The sequence below is a fragment of the Homo sapiens genome, chromosome 3 (assembly GCF_000001405.40).
Source record: "Homo sapiens chromosome 3, GRCh38.p14 Primary Assembly".
Lineage (NCBI taxonomy): Eukaryota > Metazoa > Chordata > Mammalia > Primates > Hominidae > Homo > Homo sapiens.
In genome coordinates this window covers 48,446,653-48,469,697 of record NC_000003.12, presented here as the reverse complement: position 1 = coordinate 48,469,697, position 23,045 = coordinate 48,446,653, and the positions used below count along the sequence as shown (strand labels likewise).

At 49.7% G+C, this 23,045-nt stretch overlaps 3 protein-coding genes and 1 long non-coding RNA gene across 14 annotated transcripts in view, besides 6 other annotated features; 1 reads left to right on the top strand and 3 right to left on the bottom strand.

Annotated features, from left to right (window-relative positions):
* Positions 1–1,822, top strand: part of SHISA5 (shisa family member 5) — a 36,935-nt gene extending 35,113 nt beyond the window's left edge. For 6 of the 7 annotated variants that reach the window (NM_001272066.2, NM_001272067.2, NM_001272065.3 and 3 more), the window contains 2 exons: positions 125–337; positions 512–1,822. In NM_001272066.2, coding sequence (NP_001258995.1) covers positions 125–337; positions 512–591 — 293 coding nt within the window. In that variant the 3' untranslated portion in view covers positions 592–1,822. Of the gene's footprint in view, positions 1–124 lie in introns of all 7 variants that reach the window. The other variant, NM_001272083.4, reaches the window with a different exon arrangement.
* Positions 871–1,637: an enhancer, noted in NCBI's record as "H3K27ac-H3K4me1 hESC enhancer chr3:48509460-48510226 (GRCh37/hg19 assembly coordinates)". NCBI's record gives its function as "activates a minimal SCP1, AML or CMV promoter by ChIP-STARR-seq in primed H9 embryonic stem cells {active_cell/tissue: H9 hESC(primed)}" and the evidence as "EXISTENCE:reporter gene assay evidence [ECO:0000049][PMID:30033119]".
* Positions 1,779–2,658: an enhancer, noted in NCBI's record as "H3K27ac-H3K4me1 hESC enhancer chr3:48508439-48509318 (GRCh37/hg19 assembly coordinates)". NCBI's record gives its function as "activates a minimal SCP1, AML or CMV promoter by ChIP-STARR-seq in primed H9 embryonic stem cells {active_cell/tissue: H9 hESC(primed)}" and the evidence as "EXISTENCE:reporter gene assay evidence [ECO:0000049][PMID:30033119]".
* Positions 2,053–3,868, bottom strand: TREX1 (three prime repair exonuclease 1). Of its 2 annotated transcripts, none has more exons than NM_007248.5 (2): positions 3,529–3,868; positions 2,053–3,030 (listed from the first exon to the last, which is right to left on the bottom strand). In NM_007248.5, exon 2 carries the CDS (start codon positions 3,010–3,012, stop codon positions 2,098–2,100), a length of 915 nt encoding a protein of 304 aa, NP_009179.2. In that variant the 5' UTR covers positions 3,013–3,030; positions 3,529–3,868; the 3' UTR covers positions 2,053–2,097. The 2 variants fall into 2 exon arrangements, with proteins under 2 accessions (NP_009179.2, NP_338599.1); NM_033629.6 differs by lacking the exon at positions 3,529–3,868 and adding an exon at positions 3,389–3,468 and having other exon boundaries at positions 2,053–3,068.
* ATRIP-TREX1 (ATRIP-TREX1 readthrough) lies at positions 2,053–22,919 on the bottom strand. The gene is made up of 15 exons (NR_153405.1): positions 22,606–22,919; positions 19,528–19,661; positions 17,799–17,969; positions 15,280–15,398; positions 12,282–12,439; positions 10,244–10,339; positions 9,782–9,911; positions 8,899–9,588; positions 8,253–8,337; positions 5,817–5,953; positions 5,566–5,657; positions 5,036–5,116; positions 4,615–4,867; positions 3,389–4,211; positions 2,053–3,068 (listed from the first exon to the last, which is right to left on the bottom strand). It is a non-coding gene; the product is annotated as an ATRIP-TREX1 readthrough (long non-coding RNA).
* On the bottom strand, positions 2,053–22,961 carry ATRIP (ATR interacting protein). 4 transcript variants are annotated; one of them, NM_001271022.2, is made up of 14 exons: positions 22,899–22,961; positions 19,528–19,661; positions 19,123–19,205; positions 17,799–17,969; positions 15,280–15,398; positions 12,282–12,439; positions 10,244–10,339; positions 9,782–9,911; positions 8,899–9,588; positions 5,817–5,953; positions 5,566–5,657; positions 5,036–5,116; positions 4,615–4,867; positions 2,053–4,211 (listed from the first exon to the last, which is right to left on the bottom strand). In NM_001271022.2, exons 4-14 carry the CDS (start codon positions 17,967–17,969, stop codon positions 4,144–4,146), a joined length of 1,995 nt encoding a protein of 664 aa, NP_001257951.1. In that variant the 5' UTR covers positions 19,123–19,205; positions 19,528–19,661; positions 22,899–22,961; the 3' UTR covers positions 2,053–4,143. The 4 variants fall into 4 exon arrangements, with proteins under 4 accessions (NP_001257951.1, NP_569055.1, NP_001257952.1 ...); NM_130384.3 differs by lacking the exon at positions 19,123–19,205 and having other exon boundaries at positions 22,606–22,961; NM_001271023.2 differs by lacking the exons at positions 19,123–19,205; positions 22,899–22,961 and adding an exon at positions 22,176–22,572.
* Positions 2,659–3,540: an enhancer, noted in NCBI's record as "NANOG-H3K27ac-H3K4me1 hESC enhancer chr3:48507557-48508438 (GRCh37/hg19 assembly coordinates)". NCBI's record gives its function as "activates a minimal SCP1, AML or CMV promoter by ChIP-STARR-seq in naive H9 embryonic stem cells {active_cell/tissue: H9 hESC(naive)}" and the evidence as "EXISTENCE:reporter gene assay evidence [ECO:0000049][PMID:30033119]".
* Positions 2,873–3,072: an enhancer, noted in NCBI's record as "active region_19830". NCBI's record gives its function as "activates an Ori minimal core promoter by ATAC-STARR-seq in GM12878 lymphoblastoid cells {active_cell/tissue: GM12878}" and the evidence as "EXISTENCE:reporter gene assay evidence [ECO:0000049][PMID:35858748]".
* Positions 4,153–4,242: an enhancer, noted in NCBI's record as "active region_19829". NCBI's record gives its function as "activates an Ori minimal core promoter by ATAC-STARR-seq in GM12878 lymphoblastoid cells {active_cell/tissue: GM12878}" and the evidence as "EXISTENCE:reporter gene assay evidence [ECO:0000049][PMID:35858748]".
* Positions 22,657–23,016: a silencer, noted in NCBI's record as "silent region_14331". NCBI's record gives its function as "represses an Ori minimal core promoter by ATAC-STARR-seq in GM12878 lymphoblastoid cells {active_cell/tissue: GM12878}" and the evidence as "EXISTENCE:reporter gene assay evidence [ECO:0000049][PMID:35858748]".

Sequence of the window (23,045 nt, the reverse complement as noted above, 5' to 3'; positions counted from 1 at the left end):
CCCCTGGGGTGGTAAGGGAAGCTGACCAGGCCCTGCTTTGGCTAAGCTGGAGGGATGGGTGGCAAGCCTGGCTCTCAAGACCTGGGGAGATGGAGGAGGGTCCTGACTGGAATTCTCTTTGCAGCGGTTGTCACCACCACCACATCCACCACTGTGGTGCATGCCCCTTATCCTCAGCCTCCAAGTGTGCCGCCCAGCTACCCTGGACCAAGCTACCAGGGCTACCACACCATGCCGCCTCAGCCAGGGATGCCAGCAGCACCCTACCCAATGCAGTACCCACCACCTTACCCAGCCCAGCCCATGGGCCCACCGGCCTACCACGAGACCCTGGCTGGTGAGTGCCCCTGCCAACTCTAGCCCTGCCCGACTTCCCGAGTCTCTGCCAGCATCCCTCGGGCACCCATCCCAAACTACATCACTCAACAGGCCTCTGCCCCTTTCTGCTTGCCTGCCACTCACACGGCAGCCCACCATGCTCACAGCCAACCAGGGTCCTCTCTGCTTTCAGGAGGAGCAGCCGCGCCCTACCCCGCCAGCCAGCCTCCTTACAACCCGGCCTACATGGATGCCCCGAAGGCGGCCCTCTGAGCATTCCCTGGCCTCTCTGGCTGCCACTTGGTTATGTTGTGTGTGTGCGTGAGTGGTGTGCAGGCGCGGTTCCTTACGCCCCATGTGTGCTGTGTGTGTCCAGGCACGGTTCCTTACGCCCCATGTGTGCTGTGTGTGTCCTGCCTGTATATGTGGCTTCCTCTGATGCTGACAAGGTGGGGAACAATCCTTGCCAGAGTGGGCTGGGACCAGACTTTGTTCTCTTCCTCACCTGAAATTATGCTTCCTAAAATCTCAAGCCAAACTCAAAGAATGGGGTGGTGGGGGGCACCCTGTGAGGTGGCCCCTGAGAGGTGGGGGCCTCTCCAGGGCACATCTGGAGTTCTTCTCCAGCTTACCCTAGGGTGACCAAGTAGGGCCTGTCACACCAGGGTGGCGCAGCTTTCTGTGTGATGCAGATGTGTCCTGGTTTCGGCAGCGTAGCCAGCTGCTGCTTGAGGCCATGGCTCGTCCCCGGAGTTGGGGGTACCCGTTGCAGAGCCAGGGACATGATGCAGGCGAAGCTTGGGATCTGGCCAAGTTGGACTTTGATCCTTTGGGCAGATGTCCCATTGCTCCCTGGAGCCTGTCATGCCTGTTGGGGATCAGGCAGCCTCCTGATGCCAGAACACCTCAGGCAGAGCCCTACTCAGCTGTACCTGTCTGCCTGGACTGTCCCCTGTCCCCGCATCTCCCCTGGGACCAGCTGGAGGGCCACATGCACACACAGCCTAGCTGCCCCCAGGGAGCTCTGCTGCCCTTGCTGGCCCTGCCCTTCCCACAGGTGAGCAGGGCTCCTGTCCACCAGCACACTCAGTTCTCTTCCCTGCAGTGTTTTCATTTTATTTTAGCCAAACATTTTGCCTGTTTTCTGTTTCAAACATGATAGTTGATATGAGACTGAAACCCCTGGGTTGTGGAGGGAAATTGGCTCAGAGATGGACAACCTGGCAACTGTGAGTCCCTGCTTCCCGACACCAGCCTCATGGAATATGCAACAACTCCTGTACCCCAGTCCACGGTGTTCTGGCAGCAGGGACACCTGGGCCAATGGGCCATCTGGACCAAAGGTGGGGTGTGGGGCCCTGGATGGCAGCTCTGGCCCAGACATGAATACCTCGTGTTCCTCCTCCCTCTATTACTGTTTCACCAGAGCTGTCTTAGCTCAAATCTGTTGTGTTTCTGAGTCTAGGGTCTGTACACTTGTTTATAATAAATGCAATCGTTTGGAGCTGCTGCCCCCTTTCTTCCTGGCCTCGGCTGCTGGAATTGGAATCAGGCTGTACTCTTTCCATCCATTTGGGCTTCTCTGTGTTTTCCCTACTTTTACTGGGCTCAGATAGTTGACCATCCTGCTAGGGAAAGTGAGGGACAAACACTGTGCCCTCCTCCCCAGGTCCCTGGGTGTGGGCAGAGGTCTGTGCTGCCAAGAAGGGTAGGAGCCAATTGACCACTCAGTGCTATGGGGCAGCGGGGGTCTTTATTCGTCAGATTTTCCTTCTTGGCCTACTCCCCAGGTGTGGCCAGGGATAGTCCATACAGTGTGGCTACTGCCAAGGTCAGGATGGCCAGCAGACCCAGTGGGGCCAGCAGCCCCTCCCTGGATAGGGCTCCAGGGTCCTTCACTGGAGGAAGATCCTTGGTACCCCTGCTCTCTCCAAGGCTGGGACTAGTGTTCCTGGTTGTGGCCAGGTGTGCAGTGGTTGTGACAGCAGATGGTCTTGGCTTGGTCCTAGCAGAGGCTGTGACCCCATACATGGGCCTGATGGTGCCGAAAGGCCTGGCGTGAGCATCCACCCACCGCAGCAGGGCCTGTGGTCTCCACTGACAGATGCTGAGCAGGGCCAGGACATCACCCTCAGCCGTGTGCGAGTCTGGAGGGGACTGCCCATACAGGCGAGTGTAGATGCTGCCTAGGCTATAGCTCTTCCTTGGGCCGTGTTCTGAGGGGCTGCTTGCTCGCTCCAGGGCCTTCAGCGCAGTGATGCTATCCACACAGAAGGCACCATCCAGAGCACTGGTGAGGCCCAGCATAGCCAGCTCTGCTTGGAGCAGGGGGAAGTCGTAGCGGTCACCATTGTGTGCCACCAGGCACCAGGGCTGTGGCTGGCGCCGCAGGAAGGCTAGGAGCAGGTTGGCCAGGTTGTCATCAAAACATTGACGCCCATGCGCTGCCAGCACAGCTGTGCTCAGACCTGTGATCTCGCTGGCTGCAGGGCTGCAGGCCTTCCCCGGAGCCACACACAGGGAGAGCTTGTCTACCACACGCGGTGGTGGAGGAACTGTGGGAGGTGGCCCCTGAGAGGTGGGGGGGCTCTCCAGGGCACATCTGTGGACAGCCAGCAGGCACAGCTCCGTGACCTTGGGCTGGGAGAAGGGCAAGCCAGTGGCCTCCATGTCGAAAAAGATGAGGGTCTGCATGGGCCCCGGGGGCAGGGCCTGCGAGCCCATGGTTGGGTACGTACCTGCTGCTGAGCCTGGAGAGGAGCATGGGGTGGGTGTGTGAGTGCCCAGTGTTAAGATCCGAAGGGGAGGGAGTGGGGTAGGGGGTGGGCAGAAGCACATCTCAGGCCTTCCCTGCACAATCCTGCCCTGTCTGCGAGCTCCAGGGCCCATTTTCAGGCAGGAAGTTGGAGAGGGTGAGGTGGTTTCCTTAGTGGGACCAGCACATTCGACTGTCTGAGAGGGTCTCCCTCTTCACATGACTCGGCCCCTCCCCTAGTGCCCCCTTAGTCTGGGGTGGGGGAACCCATGGCCCTCCTGCCCTGCGCCATCCCATTGTGGGGGCCACACTCACCGTAGCAGGCAGGCAGGCAGGCAGTAGTGACTCGGCTGCACACTCTCCCGCGGCTCTCGCTGGCAGCAGTGGCGGGAAGTGAAACTTGGCGTGGGCCCGCCTACAGGCCCACGTGAGCCAGGCCCGCCCTGCTCGTCAGCCTGCCTGGTCTGTCCCTCTCACCACCATCCGTTCCCCCCCACACCCACTCCCCTGCTCCCGGGGGACCCCAGAGGCCTTCCAAGATCCACAGCTGTGGCCTGCTGGTGGCACAATGCACCGGGGCCATCATACCAGTGACAGGCAGCTGGAAGGACCAGGGCAGTGGTGCCAGACCAGCTCCCGGTCTTACACACTGCTGGGAGCCCCTGCTGCGGCCCTTTCATGCCCACCTGTGGGTCCCAGTTTCCCAGGCTTTCCTGGTTTAGGCCTGGGCCAAGAGCCACCTCCTTCCCTGCCACACAATGGTTTCTTCCCATGGCCCCAGCCCAAAGCAATGACTCAGGACAATTCCACAGGCAGGGCAGGGCTCCTTCCTCAAGGCAGATCAGTTACCATGGGGACGGGCTCAGCAACAGCCAGGGACAGGAAGAAGGATCCCAGCCACTCAGGGTCCGGGTCCTGCTCCACCCCTCCCACTCCGCCAAACAGATCAGACTCAGGAAACAAGGCCAGCCAGTTCTCTGGGCAGTTCCTGCTGGTCACTGCTTTAATCAGTTGATGTGGTAAGGAAAGGAGTGGTGCTGGTGCCACCATGTGGCTGGACACTCAGGGCCTCAGCCACACTCCACCTCGGGGTCTTCCACATCGGTTTCCGCGGCACAGAGGTCATCCAGGGCTGCCTCTGAGACAAAAAGGAGAGGTTCCTGGTGAGGGCCCAAAGGTGCCAGGGCCTAGGGCAGGTCCCACCTCTCCTCCCCCAACGTCCGCAGGAACTAACCAGTCCCTTCCACACCCAGGCCCTGCTCCCTCAGCTACTGCAAACAAAGTGATACAAAGGCAATTCAGACACGGCTATTTCTGGAAAAACCGTGGCTCTGCCAGGCACACTCAACAGATAGATGCAAAAGGCATCCCAATATGCTTGGAGAAGAACTGAGGCAGGAAGATAAAAGAAAATGGCCCCAGTGCTGGAACAGGCTGCAGTGGGCGGGGGCCTGCTGAGGGGACACCCAGGAATCTGACTTGTTGGGGAACCTCTGGAAGAAGCCATGGGGGCTGGGCAGGATGGCCTCTGGCAGGCTTACCTTCACAGTCCGTCACATCAGGAAGCCCTCGGATGAGCATGCTGACCCCCGGCATCACCTGGTCAAACTGATGCAGGACCTCCACGCAGTGCATCATGAAGAGCTTGTCCTTCTGCGATAGGCCGTGCAGCAGCAGCACCGTGTCCCGCAGACAGCGCACTGTCCGCCTCTGCTGGTCGGTCCTTGGGGGTCCCCCTGCCCTCCGCACTGTCAGCCACTGTCTGTGCAACATCACCGTGAGCGCTCTGACCACCTGAGAGAGGGGGGGTGCAGACTGAGGCCTGGTGCCACCATGGCCTGCACCCTAACAATCCGCTCAGCCTAGCCACCTCACGTGAGGGGGTTTGCAGTGGGGCCTACAGTCCTTGCACGGGGCCCCCTTACCACCAGAGCTGCCAGCTGTTGGCCCCTACCCACTCACCTCCACATTACACTGGCAGTTGGAGCCAGTGACTGGGGGCAAGGGGCTCTGCACACCAAGCTTAGCCAGGAGCCACACCACCTAGAACAAGAACAGATTGGTTCCATCCTGGGCAGAAGGAGACCAGTCCCTGCGAGGGTTTTCTTAAGCTTCTATAAGAGTTCACTTGCTTCAGCAACTGTTTGTCTGCACAAATGGGGTCCAAGAAGTGGTGTGGGACCTTCCCAGGGAAGACCCAGGACAAGCACTCATGTGTCACCAGCAACCCACCTGCCTCCAGCCCCCTATTCTGCCCCCACGTCCCAAAGCCAAGACAGGATCAGTCATCAGGCAACTCTGCCAAGTCCTGTCTGCATTGCATCTGTGTGGTGCACAGCCCCCAAACTGAGTTTACCTCTTTAGTTGCTTTATCAACTCTTGTTACTAAAATGAATTAAAGCTCCGTTTCTCCTCAGCGGAAAGAAAGGAGATTCTGTTGGTTCTTAGGATGGGGTGGGGACAGTGTCCAGAAGGGGCTCTGGAGTTTTTACCTCTTGTTCCAGCTGGAGCCATTGTGTCTCCAAGGCCACTCTGTCAGGCCGTGATGTGATGTACATGTACAGCAGCAGCAGGAGGCAGCCTTCTGAAAAGGACAGCGCACCTCTCACTCAGGGTGCCCTTTCTCATAAAGAGCGTGGGCTACATACTGCAGAAGCCCTCTGAGGCCCTTGACCCTGTTCCCACCCCAACCCTTCCCTTGATCTGCAGGAGCAGTCTAGACGCCCGCCCCACCCTGCTTTACCTGAGTGGGAACAGAGCTGAGGTGCCAGCTGGTCGTGGTCCGCCAGCAGGGAGAGGAGCTCAACAGCCAGCAGCACGCTAGGCAGGGGTGTCTCTGGGCTGAGGCACTTTGGCAGCACTTGGAACACACACTGGAACCTAAAAGACAGGGACCCAGAGAGACGTGACACTCCCCAACCCCAGCTCCATAACCTACCTTCACACTCCACTAGAGGTAACAGAAAATTGAGCAAGTCAGTATGAACAGGTGAGTTGGTTCAGCCAGACTTGGGTTTCAGTGCTGGCCTGACCCCTACTTACTTGCTATGAAACTTGTTTCATGTGAACAAGTGGGCACTTCCACTGCAAGACTGCTGCAGCTGAGAGGACAGGCCCTTATCTGGTGTAGCATCGCCCAGGAAGTGGGATGACCTCCTGGATCTGGGATGCCTGGCTTCCACATGCTCCCAAACAGGGATGCAGGTCCTAACTTAGGTGGGAGAGAAATGTTCTGTGCCCACAGAAGGACTGACCAGGCCTCCAGAGGTGACAAACATGGCCTTGGCTATGGCTGGATCTTATGAGACCTCTCACAGGGCAAGGAAAGCCATTTTCTCTACTTGCCAGAAAACACATCTGCTGCCAGTGGGAGAATGTGCCTACTGTGGGGTGTGCAGGAGGGAGGGGTTCTGGGCATACTGCCCCAGGTCTCAGGGGCAAAAGGAAAGCTATTACCCCAATAAACCAAGCCCCAAGGCAACTGCTGCTGTTTGCTCAACCCACATAGCCTGGGGGAGCACGATGGACTGGCCTGGTGGGTGGGGAGGAGGGCAATTCTGAAACACTCTATGGGGTCTGGCCAGGTGTGTACCCCTTCAGACATCTGCAGTTTCTAAGCACAGAAGGTCAAGATATCCCTCAGTGTGTCCTTAGGAAGCAAGGTCTCACTATGTGGGGTGAACTCACTTTAGGGCAAATCCTGCACAGCAGACAAAAAGTTCAATGCTTTTTAGTTGCCAGGGTGTGCAGCCCTTTGTGGGAAGCTGGAATTTTAACATGGTTATTACCTGGTTTCATTATTGGGCTGTAAGATGTCCAATATCTGCCACTTGCAGAAGGTACTGCAAGGAAAATCCACTTTTATGTACACCACAGTGGTTTCCAAGTTATTTTTTGATAGCGTTAAGAACTTTTTTTTTTTGAAACTGAGTCTCGCTCTGTCACCCAGGCTGGAGTGCAGTGGCGCAAACTCAGCTCACTGCAACCTCCGCCTCCAGGGTTCAAGCGATTCTCCTGCCTCAGCCTCCCGAGTAGCTGGGACTACAGGTGCCTGCCACCACGCCCAGCTACTTTTTTGTATTTTTAGTAGAGACGGGGTTTCACCATGTTAGCCAGGATGGTCTCGATCTCCTGACCTCGTGATCCACCCACCTCGGCTTCCTAAAGTGCTGGGATTACAGGCGTGAGCCACCATGCCCAGCCCCTAAGAACCTCTTTAAATGAAATTTTATGAAGAGCCCCAGTACATGAAATAGATAAATGCCCAGCTGTGGCTGTGTTTTGAATGTCCCTGTGGACAAGCTCAACAGGAGTGGAATAATGGTGTGTCTACCACCAGTAAAAACATGGTTTCTGGGATTCTTTGAGATAGGGTCTCACTCTGTCACCTAGGCTGGAGTGCAGTGGCATGGTCATAGCTCACTGCCACCATGCCTGGCTAATTAAAAAAAAAAAAATTGTAGAGCTGGGAGTCTTGCTTTGTTGCCCACGCTGGTCTCAAACTCCTGGGCTCAAGTGATCCTCCCACCTTGGCCTCCCAAAGTGCTGAGATTACAGGCAGGAGCCACTGTGCCCAGCCTGGGATTCATTCATTTAACAATTATTAAACAAATAACCAAGGCTGGGCCCGGTGGCTCACGCCTGTAATCCTTGCACTTTGGCAGGCCAAGGCAGGTGGATCACCTGAGGTCCGGCATTTGAGACAAGCCTGGCCAACATGGTGAAACCCTGTCTCTACTAAAAATATAAAAAATTAGCCAGGTGTGGTGGCAGGTGCCTGTAATCTCAGCGTCTCAGGAGGCTGAGGCAGGAGAACTGCTTGAACCTGGGAAGTGGAGGTTGCAGTGAGCCGAGATCGCACCACTGCACTCCAGCTTGGACAACAAGAGCAAAACTTCGTCTCAAAACAAAAACAAAAACAAACAAATAAACAACAACAAAAAAAAACAGCCACTATGAGCTGGGCCCCTGCTGGGCACTTGAGTCCTGAGTCTGCCTGATCCCACTGCCCACACTACACTGCAGTGCTGTGTCCAGCTGAGTACCACCTTTAGCATGGGCCAGACCAACCAAAAATATTCAGATGGAAACAGATCTAGGAAACAGCAGTGCTGAGCTCAGAGATGAGATGATTTAAGATATATTCAGCCAGTGGAATCATTCCAACATAGAAACTGACCCTTTGGTAGAGTGCTGAGGGAGACTGGATTACTGGATGAGGGGGTGGGCTGGTTGTGTTCACAGTTCTCCCCAATCTTGCGGCTCTGGAATCCCAAGGGAGGAATTTATGATCACAGTGTTCATTCGCTAGGTTCACTATAATATACTACCCACAAACCTTAAGAAGAACAGGCCACCCCAGATGCATGCTAAAGATGGGCACAATGACAGGCAGAGACTCCCAGCAAGGTCAGCCCGTGGGCTGCAGACCCTCTCCACATCCTCTGCTTCCTTAGGGAAACCACTAAACTTCAACGTGCTTGTGATGTGTGGTCTTCACCTTACCCACATCTCAGGTTCAGAGGCCCCTTGTCTTAACCCTTGTCCTGGGGCAGGGCCCTCCTCCACAGAGGTTAGCAGCCTCCTTTAATCATGTGTGCCTTTTGCTTACCTGTTGTTCAGAGGCAGAATTAAATCAAATAAACCACTTCCTTGGTTCTCCCATTTGGCCCCACTTCCCATCACTTCAGAACTCCCTGAACCAAGCCTTAGAACTAACTAGTGTAGATAAGTCAAGATGTGAGCAAAGTACAAGTGCCATGGGTTAGACCTTAAGAGGTCAGGTGAGACCCACAAAGAATCATGACTCCTATGCAGCTTAATACCTGGGCAAGAAATCACAGGAAGTGTTTTCGGCTAATTTCACCAAAACCTTAAGGCACTGGGTCAGGACACTGGCTTGAAGGTGACCTGTTGCTGCAGAAGAGAAAGCCAACAGGTGAAGAAGCATCTTCAACAGTGGGTGCTGTCCTTGGTCATCAGCAACCCCCCTTAGGGCTGAGGTCATATCTCCATCACTAAGCCTGTGAACCAGGCTCCTGTTTCCTTCCCCAGCAGCAGAATCTGCCCCCACTCCTGACAGTAATAGGGAGACGACTGCTCCGCTGTGGCACACCAGGTGCTGAAGAATGCTAAGTGCAGTCACAGAGAAGCCTTCCAGGATGCACACTGAGTCCTCAGGGTTGGTCTCTACCCCAGAGCTCACGCAGGAGGAATGTGTCGGTGAGTCCCCAGGTGCTCCGCTTCTCTTAGCAGCTGCCAAGTCCTGCAGGGCCTGGCAGTGTAAGCCGATGAAGAACTGTACAAGGGGGAGGAAATGCACGGCTCCAGGAAGCTGGCAGAGTGGGAAGGCCCTTCTGCCTCCCTCTGCTGGGTCTCCATCACGTGAGCACTCATTCCGGGCAACCAGATTCAGTCCAGTGAATGCCAGGTTCTGTGCTTCTCTCAGGGCTGAGAGGGAAAATGACCCATCATAAGAACCTGTGGTCCTGAGGCCTGACATTCCAGCCAAGGTACTGGCAACAAACACAAAGAAAAATAGATTAAGTGTGGGATGGAGATAAGGTCAAGAGCCCCAAACAGCCTGCCTGCCAAATTCTCCAGGCTGCCTGCCCTTCCCACAGACTTCTCAGGCTGGCCAGGGCCAGAAAGGAATTTGCTTCCAGGAAGCTCCTTCCCAAACAAGCTTTCCAGGAGTCTTATGCTTACCTGCCAAACCCTGGTGGCTGCAGGGGGGTGCCAGCAGGAGACTCAGAACTACTACTCAGGAGGTGGCAAAGGCTTAGGGATGACCCTGGGATCAAAGGCTGCTTCAGGAGCAGGTTTATCAAAATGGAACCTGCAGAAGACAAGATGACTCTAGAAGGTTCTGACATGGGAGATCTTTTCGGTGGCTTTCAGAAGGAAACAGTAAGGATTCTTTGGATGCCAACTGTCCTCTAGGCTGCCACTAAGCCCCAGGAAGATGCCTGTGGGTGCGGAAGGCTCTGGGACATACCTGCCCTTGGCCCTTTCCACTTTATAAAGTCTTCTGCTTAAGCCACATACTTTGACTTCCCTGGACTCTCTGAAGGACTGCCCGGGGCACCGGTTCTCAGAGGCCTGGGCAATTCTTCTGCATATTACTCAGAGCCATGCAGGCCCCTGCAGGAGAAGCAGGGATTCTGGTACCTTGAGTGTTTGATCTCTGTCTCCAGCTGTCAACAAAGCTTTTCTGGGCCTCTTCTTGTTTTATGGAGTCACCTCTCAGACTGTGGGGCTTACTATCTGAAATGTGATAAAATGTAAATCAAAACTTGAGCCCAGAAGCATGGGCATATTAGAAACTTTTACATGCAATGAGTTTAAAACACACGCTGTTCTACTTCTTCGAACTTGGAACAAACAAGAGCCAAAGCGGCTCAAGAGCCCTGCATCTTTTACCTTCCTTATGTAAAACAGGAACTCATACAAGGAAAGGAAAAGAAAATCAAGCTGTTTGCCTCACTCAAAATGAGGCAATTAGATAAAACAGTGACCACTAACATTGACATGGTGCTTGTTACGTGCTAGACAGTGTTTTAAGAGCTCTATACGCATCAGCCCATTTGTTCCTCAGTGACCCTACAAGGATTTATCATTAGGTCTGTTTTACATATAGGGAAACTGAGGCACAGAGACTAAAGGACTTGCCCAAATCATATAAGCCAGTTAACAGCATTACTGGGACTCACATCCAGGCTACTGGGCTCTACTGCCTGCTTGTAACACTACTGTACACTGCCCCTTTAGCTGCTAGATGCCAAAAATGTAAGTGGGCTACAGTTTCTCAGAAGTGTTATGATGGCCAAGGATTTGAAAGGTTGATGGTAAGAAGAGGGTCAATGTATCCGATTTATAAGATACACTGACATAGCAGTCTGAAAACCTACTGATGTTAGATTGTCTCTCTCTAAAAAACAGCAGATCCCCTCAATCTGGACTGAGTTATAAAAACTCAAAAGCTGGACTACAAAAGGAAAACAGAGGCTGGGCACGGTGGCTCATGCCTGTAATCCCAGCATTTTGGGAGGCTGAAGTGGGTGGATCACGAGGTCATGAGATTGAGACCATCCAGGCCAACATGGTGAAACCTGTCTCTACTAAAAATACAAAAATTAGCTGGGTGTGGTGGCGCATGCCTGTAGTCCCAGCTACTCGGGAGGCTGAGGCAGGAGAATCGCTTGAACATGGGAGGCAGAGGTTACAGTGAGCCGAGATCACGCCACTGCACTCCAGCCTGGTGACAGAGTGAGACTCCGCCTCAAAGAAAAAAAAAAAAAACAAGAAAAGAAAAACAGATTCCTGCATACTAGCTAGGTTTTTGGCATGGTCAATTGATGCTGTGATGGTTTAAAAATATGCCCACAAGCATGATGGCAGGTGCCTGTAATCCCAGCTATTCGGGAGTCTGAGGCAGGAGAATCACTTGAACCCGGGAGGCGGAAGTTGCAGTGAGCTGAGATCGTGCCATTGCACTCCAGCCTGGGTGACAGGGTGAGACTCCGCCTCAAAAAAAAAAAAAAAAAGGCCCACAAATGCTTTGACACAACTCCCCTTCAAAAGGTATAAGCTTGGGAGGAGGGGGGAGGGATAGCATTAGGAGATATACCTAATGCTAAATGACGAGTTAATGGGTGCAACACACCAACATGGCACATGTATACATACGTAACACACCTGCACGTTGTGCACATGTACCCTAAAATTTAAAGTATAATAATAAAATAAAAATAAAAAATAAAAATTAAAAAAAAGGTATAAGCTTGGTTTCTCCCCTTGAATGACGCCCAGACTCAGTGATTTGCTTCTAACAAATACAATGTGGCAGAGGGGATGCTGTGTGACTTCTGAGGCTAGGCCATAAATGGATAGCTTCTGCCTGGCTCGCTCTCTCTGGATTTGCTAGCTTTAGAGGAAGCCACCCACCAGGTTAAGAGGATACCCCATATCCATGTGCAGAGGCCCATGTGGCAAGAAATTACACTGCCAGCCATGTGAGTGAGCCACCTTGAAATAGATCCTCCAGCTTAAGACAAGCTTTCAGTGATTCCAGTCCCTGCAGAGATTGTCCCCTCTGTGCCTTGTCAGAATTGCTGATCACAGAAATTGGGAGAAAATAAATAATAATTGTTTTAAGCCACATATTTGGGTAGCTTGTTATACATCAATAGATGACTAATGGACTTACCCTCTCTGCCCACCAGAGGCTTGTATCCTGACTCCGTCTGGCAGGGGTGGGGAAGGGACATGTTAGCACTAAAAGACTCCTTTGTAGGAAAAGATGTTTTTCCAAATTGTGGAGAACATGCTTCTGGCTTTATAACCACAGAAGGGTTTTTCCTAGGACTGGAAAAAGTTAACTATGAAAGCAAAGTAATGATTCTACTAAAACCATTCAAAATATCTGGTTACAAAATTTCTAACAAACTTTAAACTTTTCATGTCTAGGTGTTTTAACCAAAGGTTTTATCTATTATATGTCTACCATTCTTTGTCAGAGGAGCAGTGCAAAATTCCAGGCATTTGTTTTTCTTTTTAAAAATATTTTAAAATTTTAATTTCTCTATAGAGATGGGGATTCACTAAGTTACCCAGGCTGGTCTGGAACTGCTGAGCTCAAGTGATCCACCCACTCTGGCCTCCCAAAATGCTGGGATTACAGGCATGATCCACTGTTACTGGCTAATTCCAGGGATTTTGATCCAAATTATTGAAAATTCTTTTACTCATTTTTATATTTTTCTAATCATCCAAAAATATAATATTAGCCATAATTCCTTTACTATTCTTTATTATCACTATTTACAATTCCACCAAAACATTTTTTTTTGAGACAGAGTCTTGTTCCATTGCCCAGGCTGGAGTACAGTAGCATGATCATAGCTCACTGCAGCCTTGACCTCCTGGGCTCAAGCAATCCACCCATCTGTAATCCCAGCCTCCTGAGTAGCTGGGATTACAGGCACACATCAACATGGCCAGCTAATTTTTTTTTTTTTTTTTTGGTGAGACAGGGTCTCACTCTGTTGCCCATGCTGGAGCCCAGTGGCACAATTACGGCTCACTGCAGCCTCCACCTCTTGGGCTTAGTGATCTTCCCACCTCATCCTTCTGAGTAGCACAGGGACTACAGATGTGCAACCACCACATCTGGCTAACTTTTTATTCTTTCTAGAGATAGAGTTATTTCTAGAGATAGAGTTTCACCATGTTGCCTAGGCTAGTCCTGAACTCGTGGGCTCAAATGATCTGCCCACCTCAGCTTCCCAAAATGCTGGGATTACAGGCGTGAGCCACTGGGGCCAGTAATTTTATTTTTTTTTTAAGTAGCAATGGGGTTTTGCTATGTTGCCCAGGCTGGTCTCGAACTGCTAGCCTTAAGCAATCTTCCTGCCTTAGCCTCCTGTGTAGCTGGGATTGCCTCTGTAGCTACCATGCCTGGTGCAAAACATCTTTTCAATGTGGAACAAACTATTTTTTTTTCTGGAATGGAGTCTTGTTCTGTTGCCCAGGCTGGAGTGCAGTGGTGTGATCCTGGCTCACTGCAACCTCTGCCTCCAGGTTTGAGTGATTCTCCTGCCTCAGCCTCCCAAATAGCTGGGATTACAGGCGCATGCCACCATGCCCAGCTAATTTTTATATTTTCAGTAGAGACAGGGTTTCATCATGTTGGCCAGGTTGGTCTTGAACTACTGACCTCAAGTGATCTGCCCGCCTCATCCTCCCAAAGTGTTGGGATTACAGGTGTGAGCCACTGCACCCAGCCAATGTGGAACAAACGATTTTTTAATAGTCACAAGACTTCCAGGCTGGGCACAGTGGCTCACCCTTGTAATCCCAACAATTTGGGAGGCTGAGGTGGGTGGATCACCTGAAGTCAGGAGTTCGAGAGCAGCTTGGCCAACATGGTGAAATCCCATCTCTACTTAAAAAAAAAATACAAAAAAACTAGCCTGGTGTGGTGGTATGTGCCTGTAATCCCAGCTACTTGGGAGGCTGAGACAGGAGAATCACTTGAACCCGGGAGGTGGAGGTTGCAGTGAGCTGAGATCATGTGACTACACTCCAGCCTGGACAACAGAGTGAGACTCTGTCTCAAAAAAAAAAGACTTCCAATAGAATGCAAAGACTTTAAATAGAAAAAGGGCTATCAAAATAAATATCATAATTTTGATAAACCTACTAGGTATGTTGAAAACTGAGCAACTTAGTGCCAATGTCTTTATGGTAGAGAAGCAGTATTAACTCTCTGATCTGATCATATAATGCTGAGGTCTTTCTGTTACTGATGTGTGAAGAGGATCCCCTCAGTTCTCTTGTCTTATGTGGACAATGCAAGGCATGGAGAGTTCAGTTTCACACACTGCCCATTATGAACAAAGGCGGTAGAAAGTTCAAAACCAGAAGATGCCCTGACTGACACTGTTCAAATTTCCAGGCTGCGCCAGGCACAGTGGCTCATGCTTGTAATCCCAGTAGTTTGGGAGGCCCAGGCTGGCAAATCATTTGAGTCCAGGAGTTTGAGACGAGCCTGGCCAACATGGTGAAACTCCGTCTCTACTAAAAATACAAAAATTAGCTGGGCGTGGTGGTGTGTGCCTGTAGTCCCAGCTACTCAGGAGGCTGAAGGAGGAGAATTGCTTGAACCCAGGAGGCGGAGGTTGCAGTGAGCCGAGATTGTACCACTGTACTCCAGCCTGGGTGACAGAGCGAGACTCTGTCTCAAAAAAAAAAGAAAAAAAAAACAAGTTGAGCACATCTGACCACAAAGGATGGGGCTGTTGGACAAGGGTCCCCAGAAAGCAAATGAGAAAAAAATATTCCAAGTAGCTGGAACTAAAATACACCCATGCTTGCAACAAAATCAGTTAAACAAATTACATAAAAGTAGAGACTAGCCCACCCCCAAAATTTGGAGATCATTTTTCCAGGTCTTTCTAGTCCTGAAGAATTATGTTTATAAAGTGCCATACAGAGGCAGCATTTCTAGAGTATAGGCCTTTATGCTGTGATGTCTCAAACCATGCAAGCTTCATCTAAACCACCTCTGAATCCTTCAGGAAAAGAGGATCTCTGCCCAGGTGGAGGGGTCTAAATGGCCTTCATTTAGGACCAGCCTGACACTGTTATGCAGATTTTTTACTAAATAATGCAAAACTGAACTATCCCTCCAGCACCATCATTACCTGACATGGGAAACAGAGGGAGCAGCCAGTTTATTTGCTCGTTCACTGGTCTGGAGCTTTGTCCTTAATTCATTCATCTCTGCATCTTTAAACTGGAGTTCAGACTGCAATGATTGGAGCTGGAAGGCAAAAGAAACATGCTTGTAGTGGTCCCATCATATACACAAAAATATCTCTGGGCTTCAAAATCACAAGCCAGTAAAAGACAAACAATGAAAAATACATATGAAAGTCTGCTGTGACATAAATGTCCTAAAATATTAAACATTAGCTTTCTTTCTGAAAGACAATATGGTACTCTAAAAAGATACTGGACTCTATTGTAAGGGTAGTTTGTGAGGGTTTAAATACCAGCCCTGGCCGGGTGTGGTGGTTCAGGCCTGTAATCCTAAGCACTTTGGGAGGTTGAGGCGGGAGGATCATTTGAGCCCAGGAGTTCGAGACCAGCCTGGGCAAAATAGCAAGATCTTGCCTCTACAAAAAATTTAAAAAATAAAAAAAAGAATTAAATACCAGCCCACCATTTATTTAATGTCTTTGAATCCTAACTTATTTGTAACATAAAACACCTGTCTTCATGATAGTTGGGAGGATTAAGTAGAATGATGAGTGTAAAATACCCAGCATAGAGCTTGGTAAGGTGCCCTATGTCAGCAGTAACATATTGACCTTTATTAACGAACGCACTGGTGCACAATTCCAGGTCTTCCTCAAAGTTTGGGCAGAGTAGTTGGAATAGTTTACCAAGACACTGTGCAGTATAGAGAGACCTGCTGCTCTGGCCTGCAGTTGCTACAGCCAACAGTAACTGCCATCATTCCCCAAGCACACTCTGCGCCAGGCCCAGCACCAGACACAGTAAGTGCAAGAATGTGTGAGTCTCCCAACAACCTTTCTGGTTATGTCTTGGAACAGATAAGGGAAATGAGCCAGGGAGCTTAAGTTATTACCTTGAGGTCACTGCTTATGTGTGATGAAGCCTGGATTCAAATTCAGGTTTGTCTGACCGCAAATTCCTTGCTCTTCATCACTTATACAGAAAGTTAACTATTGCGGTTAATGATGGGCACAGGTAAGTGCTTAAAGTTTGCTAAGTTTGCTGAATGAAACAATGAGAATAAGATCCCATGTCCTTGAGATTGAAGCATGAGGAGGTGCTGAGGGAAAGTTGTAGTAGGTACTGGATACCTACTGTTTTTCCTTCCAGAATAGCATTTTCCTTTCCCTGAGAAACAGGCTGGGCATTGTGGCTCACGCCTGTAATCTCAGCACTTTGGAAGGCCAAGGTGGGAGGACTGCATGAGCCCAGGAGCTTGAGAACGGCTTGGAGAATACAGCAAAACCCTGTCTGTACCAAAATTTAAAAATTAGCTTTGCCTGGTGGTGTGTGCCTATAGTTCCAGCTACCTGGGAGGCTGAGATGGGAGGATTGCTTGAGCCTGGGAGGTCAAGGCTGCAGTGAGCTGTGATTGCACCACTGCACTCCAGCCTGGGCAAGAGAGTGAAACCCTGGACCCTGTCTCAAAAAAAAAAAAAAAAAAAAAAAAATTCAATAATTTCCCTACCTCTGACTATTTTATTAGAATGGGAGCTGTCATTTTTTTGCTTTTGGTTGCTTTTGGTTATAGCAATTGGCCAGGGACAGACAACTGACTCAAGTTAAACCAATCAGAGCCTTTCTCAGAATTTTAAAACTTGAGATGAGGGAGCCTAAGTCTTTTTTTGAAACAGGGTCTCGCTCTATTGCCCAGGCTGGAGTACAATGGCATGATCATGGCTTACTGCAGCCTCAACCTCCTGGGCTCAAGCAATTCTCCCACCTCAGCCTCCTGAGTAGCTGGGACTACAGGTGCACACCACCATGCCTGGATAATTTTGTTCATTTTTTCTTTTTCTTTTTTGTGGAGATGAGGTCTCACTAGTTGCCCAGGCTGGTCTCGAACTCCTGGCTCAAGTAATCCTCTCACCTCAGCCTCCCAAAGTGCTGGATTATAGGTGTGAGCCACTGCATGTGGCCCTAAGTCTTAATTCTGCTCTGTATTTATAAAATATGAGCCCAGGAGCTTCTGGAGAACACACCCTCTACCATAAGTATAGAGCCTGTTTATAGCATAGAGAATAAAAATGTCCTGGCAAGATTTAAGTCATTTAAGGTCCCAGCATACCCCGGTTCTTCCCAGACTTGGATATGGAAGCCAATACGTTTCCTTTTAGCCTAAGCCAGGTCAGTTGAGTTTCTGATCTAGCAAAAGAGCCTTAATGTAAACCTGTTTCTAGAAATGCTAAGCTAGTTATTTACTCCTGCCAAGACCAACTACCACAGCAAAATAGAGTTTCATCTAAATCCCTTTCCAAAATATATCCAGACCCTGGAAGAAGAGTGGATGGCAATGAGATGATAGCAGAAAGTATTTAAGACAAACAAGTGTTGAAATCTCCCTGGAAGATTTACAGGCAACCCTGGTCAAAGGAACTCAGTGGGCAGGCAAAGCTGGTGCAAAACAAATGCTCTGGGTCACCTTTTTGGAGAATTCCTTTTCCTTGTCACTGAGTGCTTGGGTTTTCTCTTGCTCAAGAAGAAAATGTGATCTTCTCTGTTCCTCTAGAACGGATTCCGTCTGATGTAGTGAGTCTCGCAAAATTTTAATTTCTCCATTCTTAATGAGAACTTCTTCTTCCATTACTTTCATCTGTAAATCCCAAATTAATCTCGTGAAAACTTTGTAAGAGAAAACTACTTAGGTACTTTGTTTTAACATGTAGTTGGGGAGATGGAGAAAGCACAGGAAAAACAGACAAATGAGTACTCAAAATATATCCACAGCAACCAGATGTCACCATGGTCTGCTAGGCCTGTTCATGGGACAGCTGATATTCATCAAGATAGCTTAAGCATACACTTGCCACTCATGCATGCAGATTCTTTTTGCCAGGGAGGGGGATGGGGTTGCTTAGGCTGGAATGCTGTGGCACAATCATAGCTCAATGTAACCTTGAACTCCTGGGCTCAAGTGATCCTCTCGCCTCAACCTCTTGAGTAGCTAGGACTACAAAGCATGTGCCACTAGCCTGGCCAATTTTCACTTTTATCTGTAGAGACAGGGTCTCATTGTATTGCCCAGGCTGGTCTTGAACTCTTGGGTTCAAGCGATTCTCTCACCTTGGCCTCCCAAAGTGCTGGGATTACAGGCATGAGCCACCTTGCCTGACCAGATTCCTTTTTTTTTTTGAGACGGAGTCTTGCTATTGTCGCCTAGGCTGGAGTGCAATGGCACGATCTCGGCTCACTGCAACCTTCACCTCCCAGGTTCCAGCAATTCTCCTGCCTCAGCCTCCCGAGTAGCTGAGATTACAGGTGCCCGCCACCATGCCTAGCTAATTTTTGTATTTTTAGTAGAGACGGGTTTTCACCATGTTGGCCAGGCTGGTCTTGAACTCCTGACCTCAGGTGATCCACTGGCCTCGGCCTACCAAAGTGCTGGGATTACAGGTGTGAGCCACCGCGCCTGGCCGGATTCTTTAGGCTCTAAGAGGCATTAACGATCTGGGTCGCTGGGTGTGGTAGCTCATGCCTGTAATCCCAACACTTTGGGAGGCTGAGGCCAGGAGTTTGAGACCAGCCTGGCCAACATGGTGAAACTCCGTCTCTACTAAAAATACAAGAATTAGCTGGGCGTCGTGGTGCACACCTGTAGTCCCAGCTACTCTGGAAGCTAAGGCATGTGAATCGCTTAAAACCAGGAGGCAGAGGTTGAAGTGAGCCAAGATTGTGTCACTGTACTCCAGCCTGGATGACAGACTCCATCTCCAAAAAAAAAAAAAAAAAAAATCTGGGTCACATACCTTGCACAACTAAAATTCCACATATTCCTGGTTTTCTTAGGGACCTACAGATGGTGATATGAAGTGTCTGCTTTCTTGCAAAGCTGCTAATGAAAATAGCAACCATTATGAAGTTGTATTATTCACATGAAGATACATGCTATAAATTCATCTTAGTACCCTAACAGTTTGTATCTCTTTTTGGATCTGGTATACAGTGTTTTTCTTCTTGCCTTTGGCATTAGGAATCTCACAATTTAGTTTCTTTCAGCCTAAACTTTCTGGTTTTCTTTCCCTAGTCTTTTCCCATGTCATAGGGATGAATCTAGACACTTGTTTTACAACTTTTGTATATTTTACTGTACAATGCTTTTAAACACGTAAGTGAATGAATTAGCTACAAAAACCACAAGTTAAGTCACTTACCTTTTCTTTAAGTTCTTTGTATTGTGCCTGAAGTACCTCTAATTCGAAATTATCTTTAATTGGAACAGTTTCTCTGTTTTTCCCTGAAGGATTTTTTGACATGCCATCTAATAATCTGTGGACCTTATGATCACCTGTAAAAAATAGTTCCATATACATTTCAGGACCCAATATTTTCCCACTTTTGCCAGAAAATGCTGAAAATACCCACTTTTTTTTTTTTTTTCTTTTTTGAGATAGGGTCTTGCTCTGTTACCCAGGTTGGAGTGCAGTGGTGTGATCACTGCTTACTGCCACCTTGACCTCCTGGGTTCAAGTGATCCTCCTGCCTTAGCCTCCTGTGTAGCTGGGACTACAGGTGTGTGCCACCATGCCTGGCTTTTTTTTTTTTTTTTTTTTTGGATTTTAGTAGAGATGGCGTTTCACCATGTTAGCCAGGCTGGTCTTGATTTCCTGTCCTCGCGATCCACCCGCCTCAGCCTCCCAAAGTGTTGGGATTACAGGCGTCAGCCACTGTGCCTGGATGCCTGGCTAATTTTAAAATTCTTTGTAGAGATTGGGTCTCCTTATGTTGCCCAGGTTGGTCTTGAACTCCTGGGCTTAAGCAATCCTCCTGCCTTTGCCTCCCAAAGTGCTGGGAAGAATTACTCTTGAGAGCAAAGCAGGGAAAGATCTAGTAAGCAATATAGATGTTTTTCAACCTAAGAACATGGTTCAAACTCATAAATGATCCTTCTTTTTTTTTTTTTTTTTTTTTGAGACAGAGTCTCGCTCTGTTGCCCAGGCTGGAGAGCAGTGGCGTGATCTCGGCTCACTGCAACCTCCACCTCCCAGGTTCAAGCGATTCTTGTGCCTCACCCTCCTAGGTAGCTGGAATTACAGGCGTGTGCTACCACGCCCGGCTAATTTTTATATTTTTAGTAGAGACGGGGTTTCACCATATTGGCCAGCCTGGTCTCAAACTCCTCGCCTCAAGTGATCAGCCCACCTTGGCCTCCCAAAGTGCTGGGATTACAGGCGTGAGCCACCACACCCGGCTGAAACTCATAAATGATCCTTCTAAAACAACAGATCCTATTATTCTTTCCCTATCCTTCATCCAATTCCAAGAGTCTCATCTAAAGCCTGAGGAGATCTCATTGGCCAGAACTCAATGATCTACTTATTATTCAGTAATAGTTACTGACCACATGCAATATGCCAGGCATGTTAGGCTCTACAGGTACAATAGTGAGCAAAATTGATACTTCCTTACACTCACAGAGCTTAAAAGACATTCAACAAATAATCACACAGATAAATGTAAAATTACAACTGTGATTAAGAACTGCAGAAGAGAACAAATATAGGAAAGCCTATAATATGACAGCAATCTGACTTAAGTGGGATGATTGGAACATTTCCCTAGGGAAGACTTGAAGGAGCTGAGAGCTGAAGGACAAGTAGGAATTAACCAGATGAGTGGAAATGAATGAATGAAAAGTATACTCAATGTACAAAGAAAGAACAATGTATAAAGTTCCTGTATTGTAAAGAAGCAGAGAGAATTCAAAGAATGTTAGTGCAGCCAGGACCCAGAGAGTGAGAAAGGGCCAAACCAGGCTGGGCCTTTCAGGCCATGTTAAGGATTCTGGTCTTCACACTAGAAGAAATAAGAAATTATTAAAGGGCTTTCATTAGGGGTGTTCATGGCTGGGTGCGGATGGCTCATACCTGTAATCTCAGCACTTTGGGAGACCAAGGCGGGTGGATCACCTGAGGTCAGCAGTTTGAGACCAGCCTGGCCAACATGGCGAAACCCCGTCTCTACTAAAAATACAAAAATTAGCCAGGCATGGTGGCGGGCACAAGTAATCCCAGCTACTTGGGAGGCTGAGGCTACTCGGGAGGTTGAGGCAAGAGAATCTCTTGAACCTGGGAGGTAGAGGCTGTGGTGAGCCAAGATGGCATCACTGCACTTCAGCCTGGGTGACAGAGTGAGACTCCGTCAAAAAAAAAAAAAAAAAAAAGGGTGTTCACGTATATCTGTGTAAGACACAGCCAGATTTGAGTTTTGAAAAGATCACTCAGAATGTGATGTGAAGCCTCACTTGTAGGGAGTCAAGACTGGAAATGGGAAACCAATTTAGCAGACCATTGTTCAAGAGAGGACTCATGGTAACACAGATCAGGCAGCTGGTAGAAGCAATGTGAATAGGATAGACTCCAGAGAAGGATTAAGAAGGTAAGCTTGACATGCTTTCCAAATAAATTAGATGTAGAGTCAAGGAAAGGGGAAGAGTCGCTTTGTGCCACTGGATGGAGAGTCGTGCTAGTTACTTCCTTGTGGAACATCTGGTCATCATTCTCTGAATGTCTGCTTTGCCGGCACCATGCTAGAAGTGCTGGAGGAGGACTGGGTTTCCAGGAAATGATCGTGTTGAGTTTAAGGTGCCTTGAGACACCCAAGTACAGATGCAAGGTGCACTCAAAACATTTCTCTTTCTGGGAGTCCTCAAGACTTCACTCACTCCTCAACTAGAATGTAAGCTCCATGAAGGACAGTTTTTGTATTTTGTTCATTGTAAGGTCAGCTGCAGTTCCTCACGTTTGGGCACCTAGCACAGTTTACTGGTTGTATAAAAGAATAAATTTATTTCATCTCTTGCCTGTGTCTGGCTCCTCCCATGCTCACACTGCCCAAGGGAGACAGTGGGCTTCATAAGATCTAAAGCCGCTCAAACTTGTCACAAGAATGGGTCCCCATGCATGGGTAGTGATGGTTCTGATGGTGGTGGTAGGTGTGTTCCAAGGATCTCTGCTTAGAACCAAGAACCAAGTGGCCTAAACTTTAGAAAATAACGTAAAATGTCAACTTAGCCTTCTGTGTTTCAAATCGGCTGTTTGACCTGGCTAATGCATTTCCCCCTAAAATCAAAGGACCTTCTGGAAGACAACCGCTGCTTAAATCAGGGTGTTCCCATATTTTAAAAAGGCGAAAAGGCAGTGCTGGCCGCGAGGTTCCGAAGCCACAGCCATCAAGGGGATCTGGCGCGGTTGACAACTCCCTCCGAGCAAAAGGCCGCGAGGAGCACTCACTGGACACGTCCCGAGCCGCGGCCGGACATTGGCTCAGGGCCTGTGACGCGAGGGTGTCAAGCTCCTCCAGGTCGTCGGCAGTGAAGTCCCCATGCGCGCCGAACGGGTCGTCAGGGTCCGGGGCAGCGGCTGCGGAGAAGCCCCGGGCCCGCTTGCTCGGGGGGTGCCCGGTGCCCGGCGGCGGGCCGGGGCGAGGCGCCGGGGGCTCGCTCCGCCTCTTGCTGCCTGGCGCGGAGGTCCCCGCCATGCTTTCCGCTCACCCCAAGTATCCGACAGCGCCGAGCTAGACTTGCCTGCCGCCAGGCCGGAGAACTGGACCAACCGTCCGCGCGCCGCCGCTTGCCTCCGCCGCGAGTGCCCCGCCCCTGGCCCAGGGGCCAATCAGCTGGCAGGCGGAGGGCGCGGAGGAATGACGAACGTCCGAGCGCGCCGCCACACCC